The sequence below is a fragment of the Homo sapiens genome, chromosome 16 (assembly GCF_000001405.40).
Source record: "Homo sapiens chromosome 16, GRCh38.p14 Primary Assembly".
Lineage (NCBI taxonomy): Eukaryota > Metazoa > Chordata > Mammalia > Primates > Hominidae > Homo > Homo sapiens.
In genome coordinates, this window is record NC_000016.10 from 81963887 (window position 1) to 81978157 (window position 14271).

The window sequence follows — 14271 nt, forward strand, 5'->3', positions numbered from 1 at the left end:
TCCAAGTCAATAAGAGTAAGACAATCCATTTGAGAAAAAGGGGCATATTCCGGCGTGGTGGCGGGCACCTGTAGTCCCAGCTACTCGGGAGGCTGAGGCAGGAGAATGGCGTGAACCCAGGAGGCGGAGCTTGCAGTGAGTCAAGATTGCGCCACTGCACTCCAGCTTGGGTGACAGAGCCAGACTCCGTCTCAAAAAAAAAAAAAAAAAAAAAAAAAAAAAAGGGGCATATTTCATGAATAAGCACCTCACAAGAGTATATCCAAAGGCCTGATAATGTGTAGGAAAAAGTTCACTCATGATTCCTATGGGAAAAATGAAAATTAGAACCATGAGATACCACTACACACTTACTAGAGTGGCAAAAATTAAAAGCCTAATGTGTTAGCAAGAATGTAGAGCACCTGGCACACTTGTGTAAATTAGTACAAAACTACATTGTAAAAAATGTATGACATTCTCTGCTGAAATTAAACATATACACACCCTGCAACCCATCAATTCCACTCCTGAATATATACCTAATACTGAAGCATATATATGCACACCAAAAGACATATACAGAGTGTTCGTAGTACTGTTATTCACAATAGGCAAAAACTGAAAAGAGCCTTAAATGTCCGTCTACGGAAGAGTTGATATACACATACAAATGCGCATTTCTACAATAGAGCACCATACAGCAATGACAAATGACTGAGCTGCAACTACAGTAACTGCGTGGATGGATCACACCCATACAAGTTGAGTGAAAGCAGCCACACACACACACACACACACACAGCAAAGAGAAGAGTGAAATGGTATGAATTAGTAGAGAGACATATAGATAAAATGCGGGATATGTGTAAGACGGAATAGTATAAGGAGGTAAAGTGGAGTGGAACAGAGCCCATATATGTAACATGGATACGTTTACACAATATCGTGTGAGAAAAGGGAAAATACAGAACAGTGCTACCCAGTGACGCCATTTACACATATTTAAAAACTGCACATAAAACTGCTTCCAACATACACACAGCTAAGTAGATAATACAGGTATAAAAATGGACTGAAAGGAACATCTTAATGTCAAGACAAGGATTGAGTCACATAGCGGGGAAGGCAAAGGCCATGTGACCGAGGCAGGGAGAGGTAGTTTCAGCTTGAGTATGGGTTTTCTTTCTTTTTTAGAGAGCGGGAAGTGTTGCTCTGCTTGACACAAATGTAAATGCAGCCTGCTCTACCAAAAAAAGGGATACAGGCATACTCAAGCTTTCTTGTCCACAGATGAATAGCTAGACAGAGGGGGCCTGTAGTCCCAGCTACTCGGGAGGCTGAGGCAGGAGAATGGCGTGAACCTGGGAGGCGGAGCTTGCAGTGAGCCGAGATCGCGCCACTGCACTCCAGCCTGGGCGACAGAGCGAGACTCTGTCTCAAAAATAAATAAATAAATAAAAATAAATAAAAAATAATAATAATGAAAATGAGGCTGGGTGCGGTGGCTCATGCCTGTAATTCCAGCACTTTGGGAGGCTGAGGTGGGTCACTCACTTGAGATCAGGAGTTCAAAACCAGCCTGGCCCACATGGTGAAACCCCATCTCTACTGAAAATACAAAAATGAGCCAGGCACGTGGTGGCGCGCACCTGTAATCCCAGCTACTCCGGACGCTGAGGCAGGAGAATCGCTTGAACCAAGGAGGCGGAGGATGCAGTGAGCCGAGATTGTACCACTGCACAAGAAAAAAAAAAAAAAAAAAAAAAAGAAGAAAGAAAACGAGAGAGAGGGGAGGAGGGAAATGAGAGGGGAAAGGCGGGGCGGAGGTGAGAGGGGTGGCGGAGTGGGGAAGAAGGCGGTGGGGAAGATGGCAGGGGCGAGGGAGTGGGAAGAAAGACTAAAACGGCACAAAATGTTAGCCAATTATTCTGGAGAGTGAAAAGTGGCTGTTATATTATTCTTTCCTTTTTTCATTTTTATTTTCAAAAAAAGCAACAAAAAACAAAGTTATATAAAAAACGTATCAGGCAGATTCTAATACAAATAAAGCTGCTGCAGCATTGCTAATATCAGACAAGTTACAAAATCAAGGTTGATATCGCTAAGAAGGGCAATGTTTTACAATTCTAACAGTAATACTGCACCAGCCAATTGTGAAGGACCCAAGCTTTTGCGTGTCTCACAACATAGCTTCGAGAAGCACAGAGCAGAGTGGGAGAACAAAAATCAACAAGTTAACAATTATAGATGGAGATCAGAGTGTTTTCTCACAACAGCACAGATAAAGAAGGCACAAAACAAGGATAAGGAGAATCTGAAAAACACAAGTCACCAGCCTGATCAAAGGTACATTAGGCTTCTGCAAACACAGAGTAAATTTTGGATCCAGAAAATACAAATTTTCTTCAAACACAGGACATTTACAAATATTGACTGTACAACAAGCCACAGAGCGGGAAACAATTTTAATTGCTCTAATACAAGATTAAACTTGGCGCCACATGAAAATCACAAACAAAAAGATGCTCCCCAAAAGTCCTATGATCACAAAGTTTAAAAGCTATTTCTAAAATATTTTTAGGGAATATGTTAGGGAAGGGACAAAAGTATTTCAGGAAAGGGACAGAACTGCCCAGAAAAAAAATACTAGAATTTTAAATGCATTTATTGTAAAATGAGAAAAAGTGACAATAAATGATCTACGCTTTAACTTAGAAGCTAGGGAAAACACTCTAAAGAGGGTAAAAAACAAGAAAATCCAAAAAAACAAAACTAAAATTGATAAAATGGTTCTTTTAAAAGTCAAGGGGAAAAAAAGCAGCACAAATCAACACTACCAGGAGTAAAAATAATTTTATAGTAAGACTTTTGGAAGCCTAGACAAAATAGGTAATATTATATTAAAATAAAAACGACCAAATGTCTAAGAATCACTAAAAATATGACTATTCCAATTATCATCCAAGAAATAGAAAAAACAAATAAGACTAATCCAATTATCATCCAAGAAATAGAAAAAACAAAGACATGCACCTCCCACCCCATGGCATCAATTTCAGATGATTTCATGGGCAACTTCTACCAAACATTCCAGAGAAAGTTTTTTTTTTTTTTTTTTTTTTTTTTTTTTTGTTACTGTGGCCAAAAGAAAAACCCAAAACAACATGACATGAGATTTACCCTGTTTTTTAAAGAGTACAGTACAGTGTTAACTACAGGCACAAAGTGGTACAGGTCTCTAGAACTTTTTCACCTTGCATGAGTGAAGCATTATATACACTGAACAGCAATTTCCCATTTCCCCCAGCTCCTGGTAACCACCATTCTACTTTATGCTTAGATGAGTTTCAATGCTTCAGATGCTTTACATAAGTAGAACTACGCAGTATTTGTCTTTCTATGATTGGCGTATTTTACTTAGTATAATGTCCTTCAAGATGCAAGTTGTAGCATCTGACAGGATTTCCTTCTGTTTTCTGACTGAATAATATTCCATCGTATGCCTATACCCCATGTTCTTTGTCCATTCATCTGTCCATGTACACTTTAAGTTGTTTCTACCTCTTGACTATCGTGAATGATGCTACGATGAACTGGAGAGTGCAAATCTCTCCTTCAGTTCCTGATTTTGATTATTTTAGCTAAATATGCAGAAGTGGGATTGCTAGAACGTATAGTACCTCTGTTTTAATTTTTGAGGAACCTCCACACTGCTTTGCATAATGCCTGCATCATTTTACACTTCTACCACCAACAGTGCAGAAGGTTTCCTATTTCTCCACATCTTCGTCAACACTTGTTATATACATATTTTTCTAATAATGTCCATCCTAAAAGGGTGTGAGGTGATATTTCACTGTGGCTTTTACATTTTCTTTTTTTTTTAAATTAAATTAAATTTTATTTTATTGAGACAGAGTCTCACTCTGTCGCTCAGGCTGAAGTGCAGGGCTGAGATCTTGGCTCACTGCAACCTCTGCCTCCTAGGTTCAAGAGATTCTCCTGACTCAGCCTCCCAAGCAGCTGGGATTACAGGTGCACACCACCATACCCGGCTCATTTTTTTGTATTTTTAGTAGACATGGAGTTTCACCATGTCTGTCAGGCTGGTCTCAAACTACTGACCTCAAGTGATCTGCCTGCCTTGGCTTCCCAAAGTGCTGGGATTACAGGCGTAAGCCACCACGCCTGGGCAATTTGCATTTTCTTGAAGATTAGTGATGTTGAACATCTTTTCATATACCTGTTGACCATTTGTATGTCTTCTTTGGAAAAATGTCTATTTAAGTCATTTGCCCATTTAAAAAATTGTGGGTTTTTGCTATTGAGTTATAGGAATTCCTTGTTTTTGATATTAACTCCTTATCAGATGTACAGTTTTCAAATATTTTCTCTCAATCCAGAGGTTGCCTTTTTACTCTCCTGAATATTTCCTTTGCTGTGTGCAGAAGCTTTTTAGTTTGATACAGTTCTACTTACCTTTGTTTTGTTGCCCAAGCTTTTGAGGTCATATCCAAGAAATCACTGCTAAGACCCATGTCATGAAGCTTTTCTTCTGTTTTCTTCTAGCAGTTTTATGGCTTTAAGTCTTATATTTAAGTCTTTAATCAATTCTAAATTGATTTTCACATATAAGTTAAGAGACCAATTTCATTCTTTTGCATGCGGATTTTCAGTTTTCCCAACACCATTTTTTGAAGAGACTATTCTTTCCCCACTGTGTATTCTTGGAAGCTTTGTCAAAGATCGGTTGATCTTAGGTGCATAGGGTTATTTCTGGGCTCTCTATTCTGTTCCATTGATCTATATGTCTGTCTTTTGCCAGTACCATAATATTTTATTACTGTAGTTTTGAAGTGTGTTTTGAAATTAGGAAGTATGAGACCTCAACCTTTGTTCTCTTTCAAGATTGTTTTGGCTATTTGGGATCATTTGTGGTTCTATATGAATTTTAGGATTGTGTTTTCTATTTCTGTAAAAAATGCCATTAGGATTTTGGTAGGAATGACATTGAATCTGTAGATCACTTTGGGTAATATGGACATTTTAACAATATTAAGTTTTCCAGTTCATGAACATAGGATGTCTTTCCATTATTTGTGTTTTAAATTTCTTTCAGCAATATTTTATAGTTTTCAGTGTACAAGTCTTTCATTTCCTTGGTTAAGTTTATTGCTAAGTGTTTTCTTTTTGACGCTGTTATAAATGCGATTGCTGTAATTTCCTTTCCAGATTGCTTGTAGTTGGTGTACAGAAACATAACTAATTTTAGTATGCTGACTTTGAATCCTGTAACTTTACTGAATTTATTAGTTCTAACAGTTTTTTTCCCCTTTGGTGGAATCTATAGGATTTTCTACACCTAAAATCATGTTATCTGTGAACAAAGATAATTTTTCTTCCTCCTTTCCAGTTTGCGTGCCTTTTATTTCTTTTTCTTGTCTACTTGCTCTGGCTAGAACCTTCACTAGTATGCTGAATAGAAGTGGTGAGAGTGAGCATCCTCACCTCTTTCCTGATCTTAGACGAAAAGTTTGTTTTTTACCTTTGAATATGTTAACTGTCGTGTTTTCATATATGGGCCTTTATTATGTTGAGGTAATTTCCTTGTTATTCCTAGTGATATGATTTGGATAGTCATCCCTTCCAGATCTCATATTGAAATGTGATTCCCAGTGTTGGAGGTAGGGACTAGTGGGAGATGTTTGGGTCATGGGGGCAGATCCCTCATGAATGGCTTGGTGCCCTCCCTACAGTAATGAGTGAGTTCTCACTCTTAGTTCATTTAAGAGCTGGTTGTTGAGAAGAGCCTGGCATTTCTCTTGTTACCTCCCTTGCCATATGACACACTGGCTGCCCTTCTCTTCCACCATGACTAAAAGCTTCATGAGGCCTTACCAGAAGCATATGCTGGCACCATGCTTCACAGTCCACAGAACTGAAAGCCAAAATAAATTATCCAATCTCAAGTATTTCTTTATAGCAACACAAAATGGACTAATACACCTAGTTTCCTAAGTTTTTTTAATCACAAAAGGGTGTTGAATTTTGCCAAACGCAATTTGTTTCTATTGATATGATCATGTAATTTTTATCCTCTGTTCTGTTCCTGTGGTGTATCACATTTTTGATTTGCATATTTGTAATCATTCTTATGTCCTAGGGATACTCTCCAGTCTCTTATAAGTGACTAAATCCCACTTAGTCATCATGGTGTATGTCCTTTTAATGTGCTATTGAATGTGGTTTGCTTGTATTTTGTTAAGAATTTTGCATCTATATCTGGGATATTGGTCTGCATTATTTTTTTCTTGTAATGTCTGTTTTTGGCTTTGGCACTGGGGTAATGCTGGCCTCATAAAATGACTTCGGAAGTATTCGTTCCTCTTCTACTTTTTAAAAGTTCAGAAGCATTCGTCTTAATTGTTCTTTAAATGTTTAATAGAATTCATCAGCAAAATCTTCTGGTCCTGGGCCTTTTTTGAGATGTTTTTGATTACTGATTGAATCTCCTTACTAGCTAAAAGTCTGTTCAGATGTTCTATTTCTTTATGATTCAGTCTTAATTTTCTATTCTCTACTTTGATAACTTCTACCTTAATCTTTATTATTTCATTTCTTCTGCCATCTTTGGGCTTAGTCTGTTTGTTTCTCATTCCTTGAGGTATAGAAGTTAGGTTATTTGAGCTCTTCTTTTGGGAGGTAGGAATTTATCACCACAAATTTTCCTCTTCCTACTGCTTTTTTCTCCATGAGTTATGTTTTTGTTTTGTCTAAAGATATTTTATAATTTACCTTTTTATATCTTCTTTGACCCATTGGTTGTTCCAGAGTAGGTGTTATTTAATTTCCATATATTTATGAGTTTTCTGATTTTCCTTCTCCTACTGATTTTTAGTTTCATTTCACTGTAGTTGGAAATAAATTTGAGAATTCAATCTTCTTAAGTTTGTTAAGACTTGCTTTGTGATCTGTCCTGGAGAATATTTCTGTGTGCACTTGAGAAAATGTGTATTCTGCTACTGTTGGGTGGAATGTTCTGTATATGACTATTAGGTGCATTTGATTTATAGTATTTTTCAAGCCCTCTGTTTCCTTATTGATCCTGTGTCTAGATGTTCTATTCATTACTGAAATCTCCTACTATTATTGCGATGCTGTTTTTCCCTTCAGTTCTGCCGATGTTTGTTTCATATATTTAAGTGCTCTGATGTTTGGTACATACATATTTACAATTATTATATCTTCTTGGTGAACTGACCCATTAATCATTATCTGTCCTTCTTTGTCTCTTGTAGCAGCTTTTGACTTAAAGTCTATTTTGTTTAAGTATGGTCACCCCTCTTTTAGTAGCTTAGCGTATCTTTCTCCATCCTATCACTTTAAGTATATGTGTGTCATTAAACTTAAAGTCAGTCTCTTATATACAGCATCTAGTTGAATCTTGTTATCCTTCAGCTACTTTGTGTCTTTTGACTGGGCAGTTTAATACATTTACATTTAATTATTGATAGGAAAGGACTAACTATTGCCATTTTGTTAATAATTTTCTGTCTGTCTTGCAGCTCTTTTGTCCCTTTTCTTCTTTCACTGTCTTCCTTTGTTGATTTTTTGTAATTTTTGTAGCTAACATAGGGCTTACATGAAACATTTTATAGTTGTAACAATCTGTTTTAAGCTGATAACAACTGTAATCACATTGAAAAACTCTACAGTTTTACTCTTTCCTCCAAACTTTGTCAATTATGTCATAAATTTTATCTTTTTATATTGTGTATCCCTTACATATTTTCATAGTTTTTAAATACTTTTGGCTTTTAACATCTGTACCAGAATTAAAAGTGATGTATACACTAACAATATAGTATTCTGTGTTTAGCTATATACTTACCTTTACCAGCAAACTTTATACTTTCATATGCTTTTGTATGGCTGCTTAGAGTCTGTTTAAACTTCAAGAACTTTAGTATTTGTTGTTATTCAGGCCTAGCGGTGATGAACTTCTTCAAATTTTATCTGAAAAAGTCTTTATTTCTCCTTTGCTTTTAAAGGACAGTTTGCCAGATACAGTATTCTTGAACAACCTTTTCTCCCCCTCCTTTCAGCACTCCCAATATACTGTCCCATTCTTTTCTGGCCTGCAAGGTTTCTGCTGAGAAATTCACTGATTCTTATGGGAGTTCCCTTGTATGTAATTAGTCCCTTTTGTTGCTCTCAAAATTCTGACTTTTGACAACTGATGTCTCAATATGGACTTCTTTGAGTTTATTCCCTTTGGGTCCATTTTCTTTCAGAGATTTGACAAGTTTTTGGACATTATTTATTTAAAGAAGCTTTCTGTCTCTTTATCTCTTCTACTTTTGGAACTAACATAATGAGTATTTTGGTCTGCTTATGGTGTCCTATAAGTCTGTGAGGCTTTTTTCTCTTCCTCTTCCTTCCTTCTGTTCTTCCTTCCTTCTCCTTCCCTCATCTTCCTCTTCCTCTCCTTCCCCCTCCTCTTACCTCTCCCTTCTTCCCCCTCCCCCCACTTCTCTTCTTCTTCCTGTTTTTGCTCCTCTGGCTGGATAATTTCAATGATCTGTGTCTGGGCTTTCTGTTCCCAAAAGAGAAGGAACACACGAACACACACACACACACACACACACACACACACACACACACACACGTGAAAGCTTTCTGAGTCAGGGTCTTGCTCATGTCACCCTGGCTGGGGTGCAATGTTAGGGTCACAACTCACTGTAACTTTGAACGCCTAGGCTCAGATGATCCTCCCACCTCAGCCACCTAAATACCTGGGACTAAAGGCATGCAGCCACATGCCTGGATAATTTATTTTTTATTTTCTGTAGAGATGGGGTCTTGCTATGTTGCCCAGGCTGTTTTCAAACTTGGCCTCAAGCTATCTCCTGCCTTGGCCTCCCAAAGTGCTGGGATTACAGGCATGAACCACTATTCCTGACTACAGAATATATTTTTATTGAATAAAAATTATAAGGTGACAGACCAAAAAAAAGAGACCTCCTAAGCTCATTTTAGGAGGGTAGAGGACAATCAAGGAAGAGAGGGAAAATCAAGAAAAGTGAAAGGAACAGAGAGAAAGGGAGGGAGGATGATGCCAATCTCACTGTTAAATAGAGTAGAAATCCTGAAAAATATTTGCAAACCAATGTTCACTTGTTCATAACGTAGAGTTAATCTCAGGAATCCAGTAATGGTTTAATATTGGAAAACCTATCAATGCAGTTCTCTACATTAATAGATTATGCTTTTCCATAAGGAAATTGATAATATGAAACACATATGCCACATAAAAGCTTTTAGTGAATTAGTGTTTTTTTTTTTTCCAAGGTGGTGGATTAGAGGTTTTTAACATGCCTCAGCCACTTGGAAATAGCAAAGTAGTGCCTAAACTCTCTGAGCTTTAATTGGAGAAGGAAAATTGGAATCCACTAGAATTGTAAAGAAAACCTCAGATCCTGGGTAGAAGAACACAGGCAAACAGCCCCTGTGATGATGTCTAGTTCATAAAAAGATTGTAGTGCCCCAGGGCCTTCTCTGGTTGACACCCAGGCAGATCTCCACTGACCTGGATCAGCAGCCGGAGTTGCCCCACTCTTCCTCTGCAGAAATTGTGGTGAAACAGGGCCCTCTCCGCTCCATGCCCAGGCAGATGTCCAGGCATTCAGAGCACCTCCTTGCCTGAATGAGTAGTCTGAGCCAGCCCACCCTTCCTGTGTAGAGACGATGGTAAAGCGAGGACCTCTCTGTCCCATGCCCAGGCATATCTCTAGGCAGCTGAAGCACCCACTCTCCTGAATTAGGAATTTAGGCTGACCCCTGATCTGTACAGATAACTTGGGGCTGAGGAGGTTTTCCAGCTCCATGCCTAGGCCCACCTCTGGGTATCTGGTGGCTGCCCACTGGATTCTCCCTCAGCACTGGTGCTTGTGCCTGCCACTGGGGGACCTGTAGGTAGGCCTACCTGGTCTGGTCCTGCCCATCATGCCCCCCTCTTCCTGGGGCTAAGCAGGAAGCTCAGAGGACTGTGCATTCCATGCATCAGCCCATTTCCTGAGGCAACGGCGAGCTTCTAGTAGTAAACAAAGGGCAAGTATATACCCAGCATGTTGGCTGCAGCTGCCTCTTACCCTTAAGTACCCTCTACTGGTTTGTAAGTCAAACCACAAAGCCTAATACAAAACCTGCCAAAAGTAGTGCATAGGGTTATAGAAGCAAAGCCAAAAGACCCTACCCACATTCTCTACAGTCACAACTCCTGGGGGCAGTAGCGGGGGTGGTGTGGGGAAGGGAAAGGGAAAGAAGAAAAAACCGGTAATATTATAGAGAAAGAAAAAGAAAAGAAATCCTACCCACATGAAAATAATTACAAGAATTAGAAGAGTCAGCATCTCCAGATGAGAAGGAACTAGCACAAGAATTCTGGCACCATGAAAAATCTGAATTTAGTGGTATCACACTAGCTCTCCAGCAATGGTCCCTAACCAAAATGGAAATGCAGAAATGACAGAGAAAGAATTCAATACATGAATTACAAGGAAGCTCAACAAGATCCATGGCAAGACTGAAAATCAACACAAAGAAACTTCTAAATCAATCCAGTAAATTAAGGAAGAGATAAACATCTTAAAAAGAAATCAGGCCGGGTGCGGTGGCTCACACCTATAATCCCAGCTTTGGGAGGCTGAGGCGGGCAGATCATGAGGTCAGGAGATTGAGACAATCCTGGCTAATATAGTGAAACCACGTCTCTACTAAAAATGCCAAAAAATTAGCTGGGCGTGGTGGCAGGCACCTGTAGTCCCAGCTACTCTGGAGGCTGAGGCAGAATGGTGTGAACCTGCAGGACAGAGCTTGCAGTGAGCCAAGATCATAACACTGTACTCCAGCCAGGGAAACAGGGTGAGACACTGTCACAAAAAAAAAAAAAAAAAAAAAAAAATCAATCAATCAGAACTTCTGGAATTGAAAAACTCACTTAAGGAATTTCAAAATACAATTGCAAACTTTGTCAATAAATTGGCCCATATGGAAGAAAGAATTTCAGAGCTTGAAGACTGGTCTTTCAAACTAATCTAGTAAGACAAAAATAAAAAACAATTTTAACGAATGAACAAAAAACCTTTGAGAAATATAAGATTATGTAAAGTGACCAAACCTATGAATTACTGGTATTCCCGAGAGAAAAGGAGAAAAAATAAGCAAGCTGGAAAATATATTTAAGGGAGTAATTCAAGTAAATTTCCCTAACCTTGCTAAAGAAGTAGACATCCAGATTTTAAAAATCCAGAGAATACCTGTGAGATACTATACAAGACAAACATCAGCAAGCCATATAGTCACCAGATTGTTCAATGTCAATGCTAGAGAAAAAAAATCTTAAAGGCAGCTAGAAAAAAATGTCACATCATGTACAAAGGAAACCCCATCAGGCTAACAGCAGACTTGCAGCAGAAACCTTACAAGCCAGGAGAGATTGGGGGCCCATTTTCAGTATTCTTAAAGAAATTCCCACCAAGATTTTCATATTGCACCCATCTAAGCTTTATGAGTAAAGGAGAAAATAAAATCTTTTACAGACAAGCAAGCAGTAAGGGAATTTGTTACCATTAGATCAGCCTTACAAGAGAATCTTAAGGGAGTTTTAAACATAGAAACAAAAGAAATATACCTCCTACCCAAGAAACACACTTAAGGACATAGCCCACAGACCCTATAAAGCAAGCACACAAGTAAAAACTACAAAGCAACCAGCTAAAAACCTCATGACAGGATCAAAACCTTACACTTCAATATTAATCTTGAATGTAAATGTCTAAATGCCCCACTTTAAAGGCACACACTTGTAAATTGCATTAAAAAACAAGACCCATACATCTGTTGTCTTTAAGACACCCACCTCACACGTAAGCACACCCAGTGGCTCAAAGTAAAGAGATGGAGAAAGATCTGTCATGTAAATGGAAAACAACAAACAGTAGGGGGTCACTATTCTTAGATAAAACAGACATTAAACCAGCAACAACAAAAGGACAAAAAGGCATTACATGATAAAGGGTTCAATGTAACAAGAAGACTTATCTGTCCTAAATGCATATGCACCCAACACTGGAGCACCCAGATTTATTAAAAAACAAACAAACAAAAATAAAACCTACTACTAGACCTTTGAAAAGACTTAGCCACATGATAATACTGGGAGGCTTCAATACTCCACTAACAGTGTTAGACATATCATCAAGGCAGAAAATAAATTCTAGACTTAAATTTGACACTGGACCAACTCGATCTCAGACATTTACAGAACACTCCACCTGTTAACCACAGAACATACATATTTTTCAACTGCACATGGAGCATATTCCAAGATCAACCACATGCTCAGCCATAAAATGAGTCTCAATAAATTCAAAAAAATTGAAATCATACCAGCCATACTTTCAGAACAGAGTGGAATAAAATTATTAATCAATACCAAGAGGATATCCCCAAACCACACAACCACATGGAAATTAAACAATTTGCTCCCAGATTACTTTTGAATAAACAACAAAATTAAGGCAGAAATCCAAAAATTATTTGAAATAAACAAAAACAGAGACACAACATAAAATTTCTGAGATGTAGCAAAAGCAGTGTCAAGACCAAAGTCTGTAGCTCTAAATGCCTACCTCAAAAAGTAAGAAAGATCTCACAGAGATTTTTAATTTAACATCACGTCTTGAGGAACTAGAAAAACCAGAACAAACTAACTCCAAAGATAGCAGAAGAAAACTAAAATCAGAGCAGAACTGAATGAGACCCAAAAATTCACATAAAGAATCAATGAAACCAAAAGCGTGTGTTTTTATTTTTGTTTTTTTTTTTTTTTTTTGAGACAGAGTCTCACTCTGTCATCCAGGCTGGATGACGATGGCATGGTCTTGGCTCACTGCAACCTCTGCCTCCTGGGTTCCAGCAATTATCCCGCCTCAGCCTCTTGAGTAGCTGGGACTACAGGCGTGTGCCACCACACACGGCTAATTTTTGTATTTTTAGTAGAGATGGGGTTTCACTATGTTGGTCAGGCTGGTCTCGAACTCCTGACCTCATGACCCACCCGCCTCGGCCTCCCAAAGTGTTGCAATTACAGGTGTGAGCCACTGCACCCGGCCTGAAAACTGGGTTCTTTGAAAGGATAAACATGACTGACAGACTGCTAGCTGGATTAACAAAAAATGAGAGAAGATCAAACTAAGCACAAGCAGAAATGACAAAGGTGACATTACAACCAATCCCACAGAAGTACAAAAGATACTCAGAGACTATTATGAACACCTTTATGCATACAAACCAGAAAATCCAGAGGAAATGGATAAATTTCTGGAAATACATAAACTCCCAAGATAAAATCAGAAAGACATTGAAACTCTGAACAGACCAATATTTTTTTCTGAAATTGAATCAGTAATAAAAATCCTATCAGGGGGAGGAGCCAAGATGGCCGAATAGGAACAGCTCTGGTCTACAGCTCCCAGCGTGAGCAACGCAGAAGACAGCTGATTTCTGCATTTCCATCTGAGGTACCGGGTTCATCTCACTAGGGAGTGCCAGACAGTGGGCGCAGGTCAGTGGGTGCGTGCACCATGCGCGAGCCGAAGCAGGGCGAGGCATTGCCTCACTCTGGAAGCGCAAGGGGTCAGGGAGTTCCCTTTCCTAGTCAAAGAAAGGGGTGACGGATGGCACCTGGAAAATCAGGCCACTCCCACCCGAATACTGCGCTTTTCCGACGGGCTTAAAAAACGGCGCACCACGAGATTATATCCCGCACCTGGCTCAGAGGGTCCTACGACCACGGAGTCTCGCTGATTGCTAGCACAGCAGTCTGAGATCAATCTGCAAGGCAGCAGCGAGGCTGGGGGAGGGGCGCCTGCCATTGCCCAGGCTGGCTTAGGTAAACAAAGCAGCCGGGAAGCTCCAACTGGGTGGAGCCCACCACAGCTCAAGGAGGCCTGCCTGCCTCTGTAGGCTCCACCTCTGGGGGCAGGGCACAGACAAACAAAAAGACAGCAGTAACCTCTGCAGACTTAAATGTCCCTGTCTGACAGCTTTGAAGAGAGCAGTGGTTCTCCCAGTACGCAGCTGGAGATCTGAGAAGGGGCAGACTGCCTCCTCAAGTGGGTGCCTGACCCCTGACCTCTGAGCAGCCTAACTGGGAGGCAACCTCCAACGGGGGCACACTGACACCTCACACGGCAGGGTACTCCAGCAGACCTGCAGCTGAGGGTC

At 39.5% G+C, this 14271-nt stretch overlaps 2 annotated features.

The window, feature by feature from the left end:
• Positions 11683-12249: an enhancer, noted in NCBI's record as "NANOG hESC enhancer chr16:82009174-82009740 (GRCh37/hg19 assembly coordinates)". NCBI's record gives its function as "activates a minimal SCP1, AML or CMV promoter by ChIP-STARR-seq in naive H9 embryonic stem cells {active_cell/tissue: H9 hESC(naive)}" and the evidence as "EXISTENCE:reporter gene assay evidence [ECO:0000049][PMID:30033119]".
• Positions 13716-14271: an enhancer, noted in NCBI's record as "NANOG-H3K27ac-H3K4me1 hESC enhancer chr16:82011207-82011762 (GRCh37/hg19 assembly coordinates)". NCBI's record gives its function as "activates a minimal SCP1, AML or CMV promoter by ChIP-STARR-seq in primed H9 embryonic stem cells {active_cell/tissue: H9 hESC(primed)}" and the evidence as "EXISTENCE:reporter gene assay evidence [ECO:0000049][PMID:30033119]".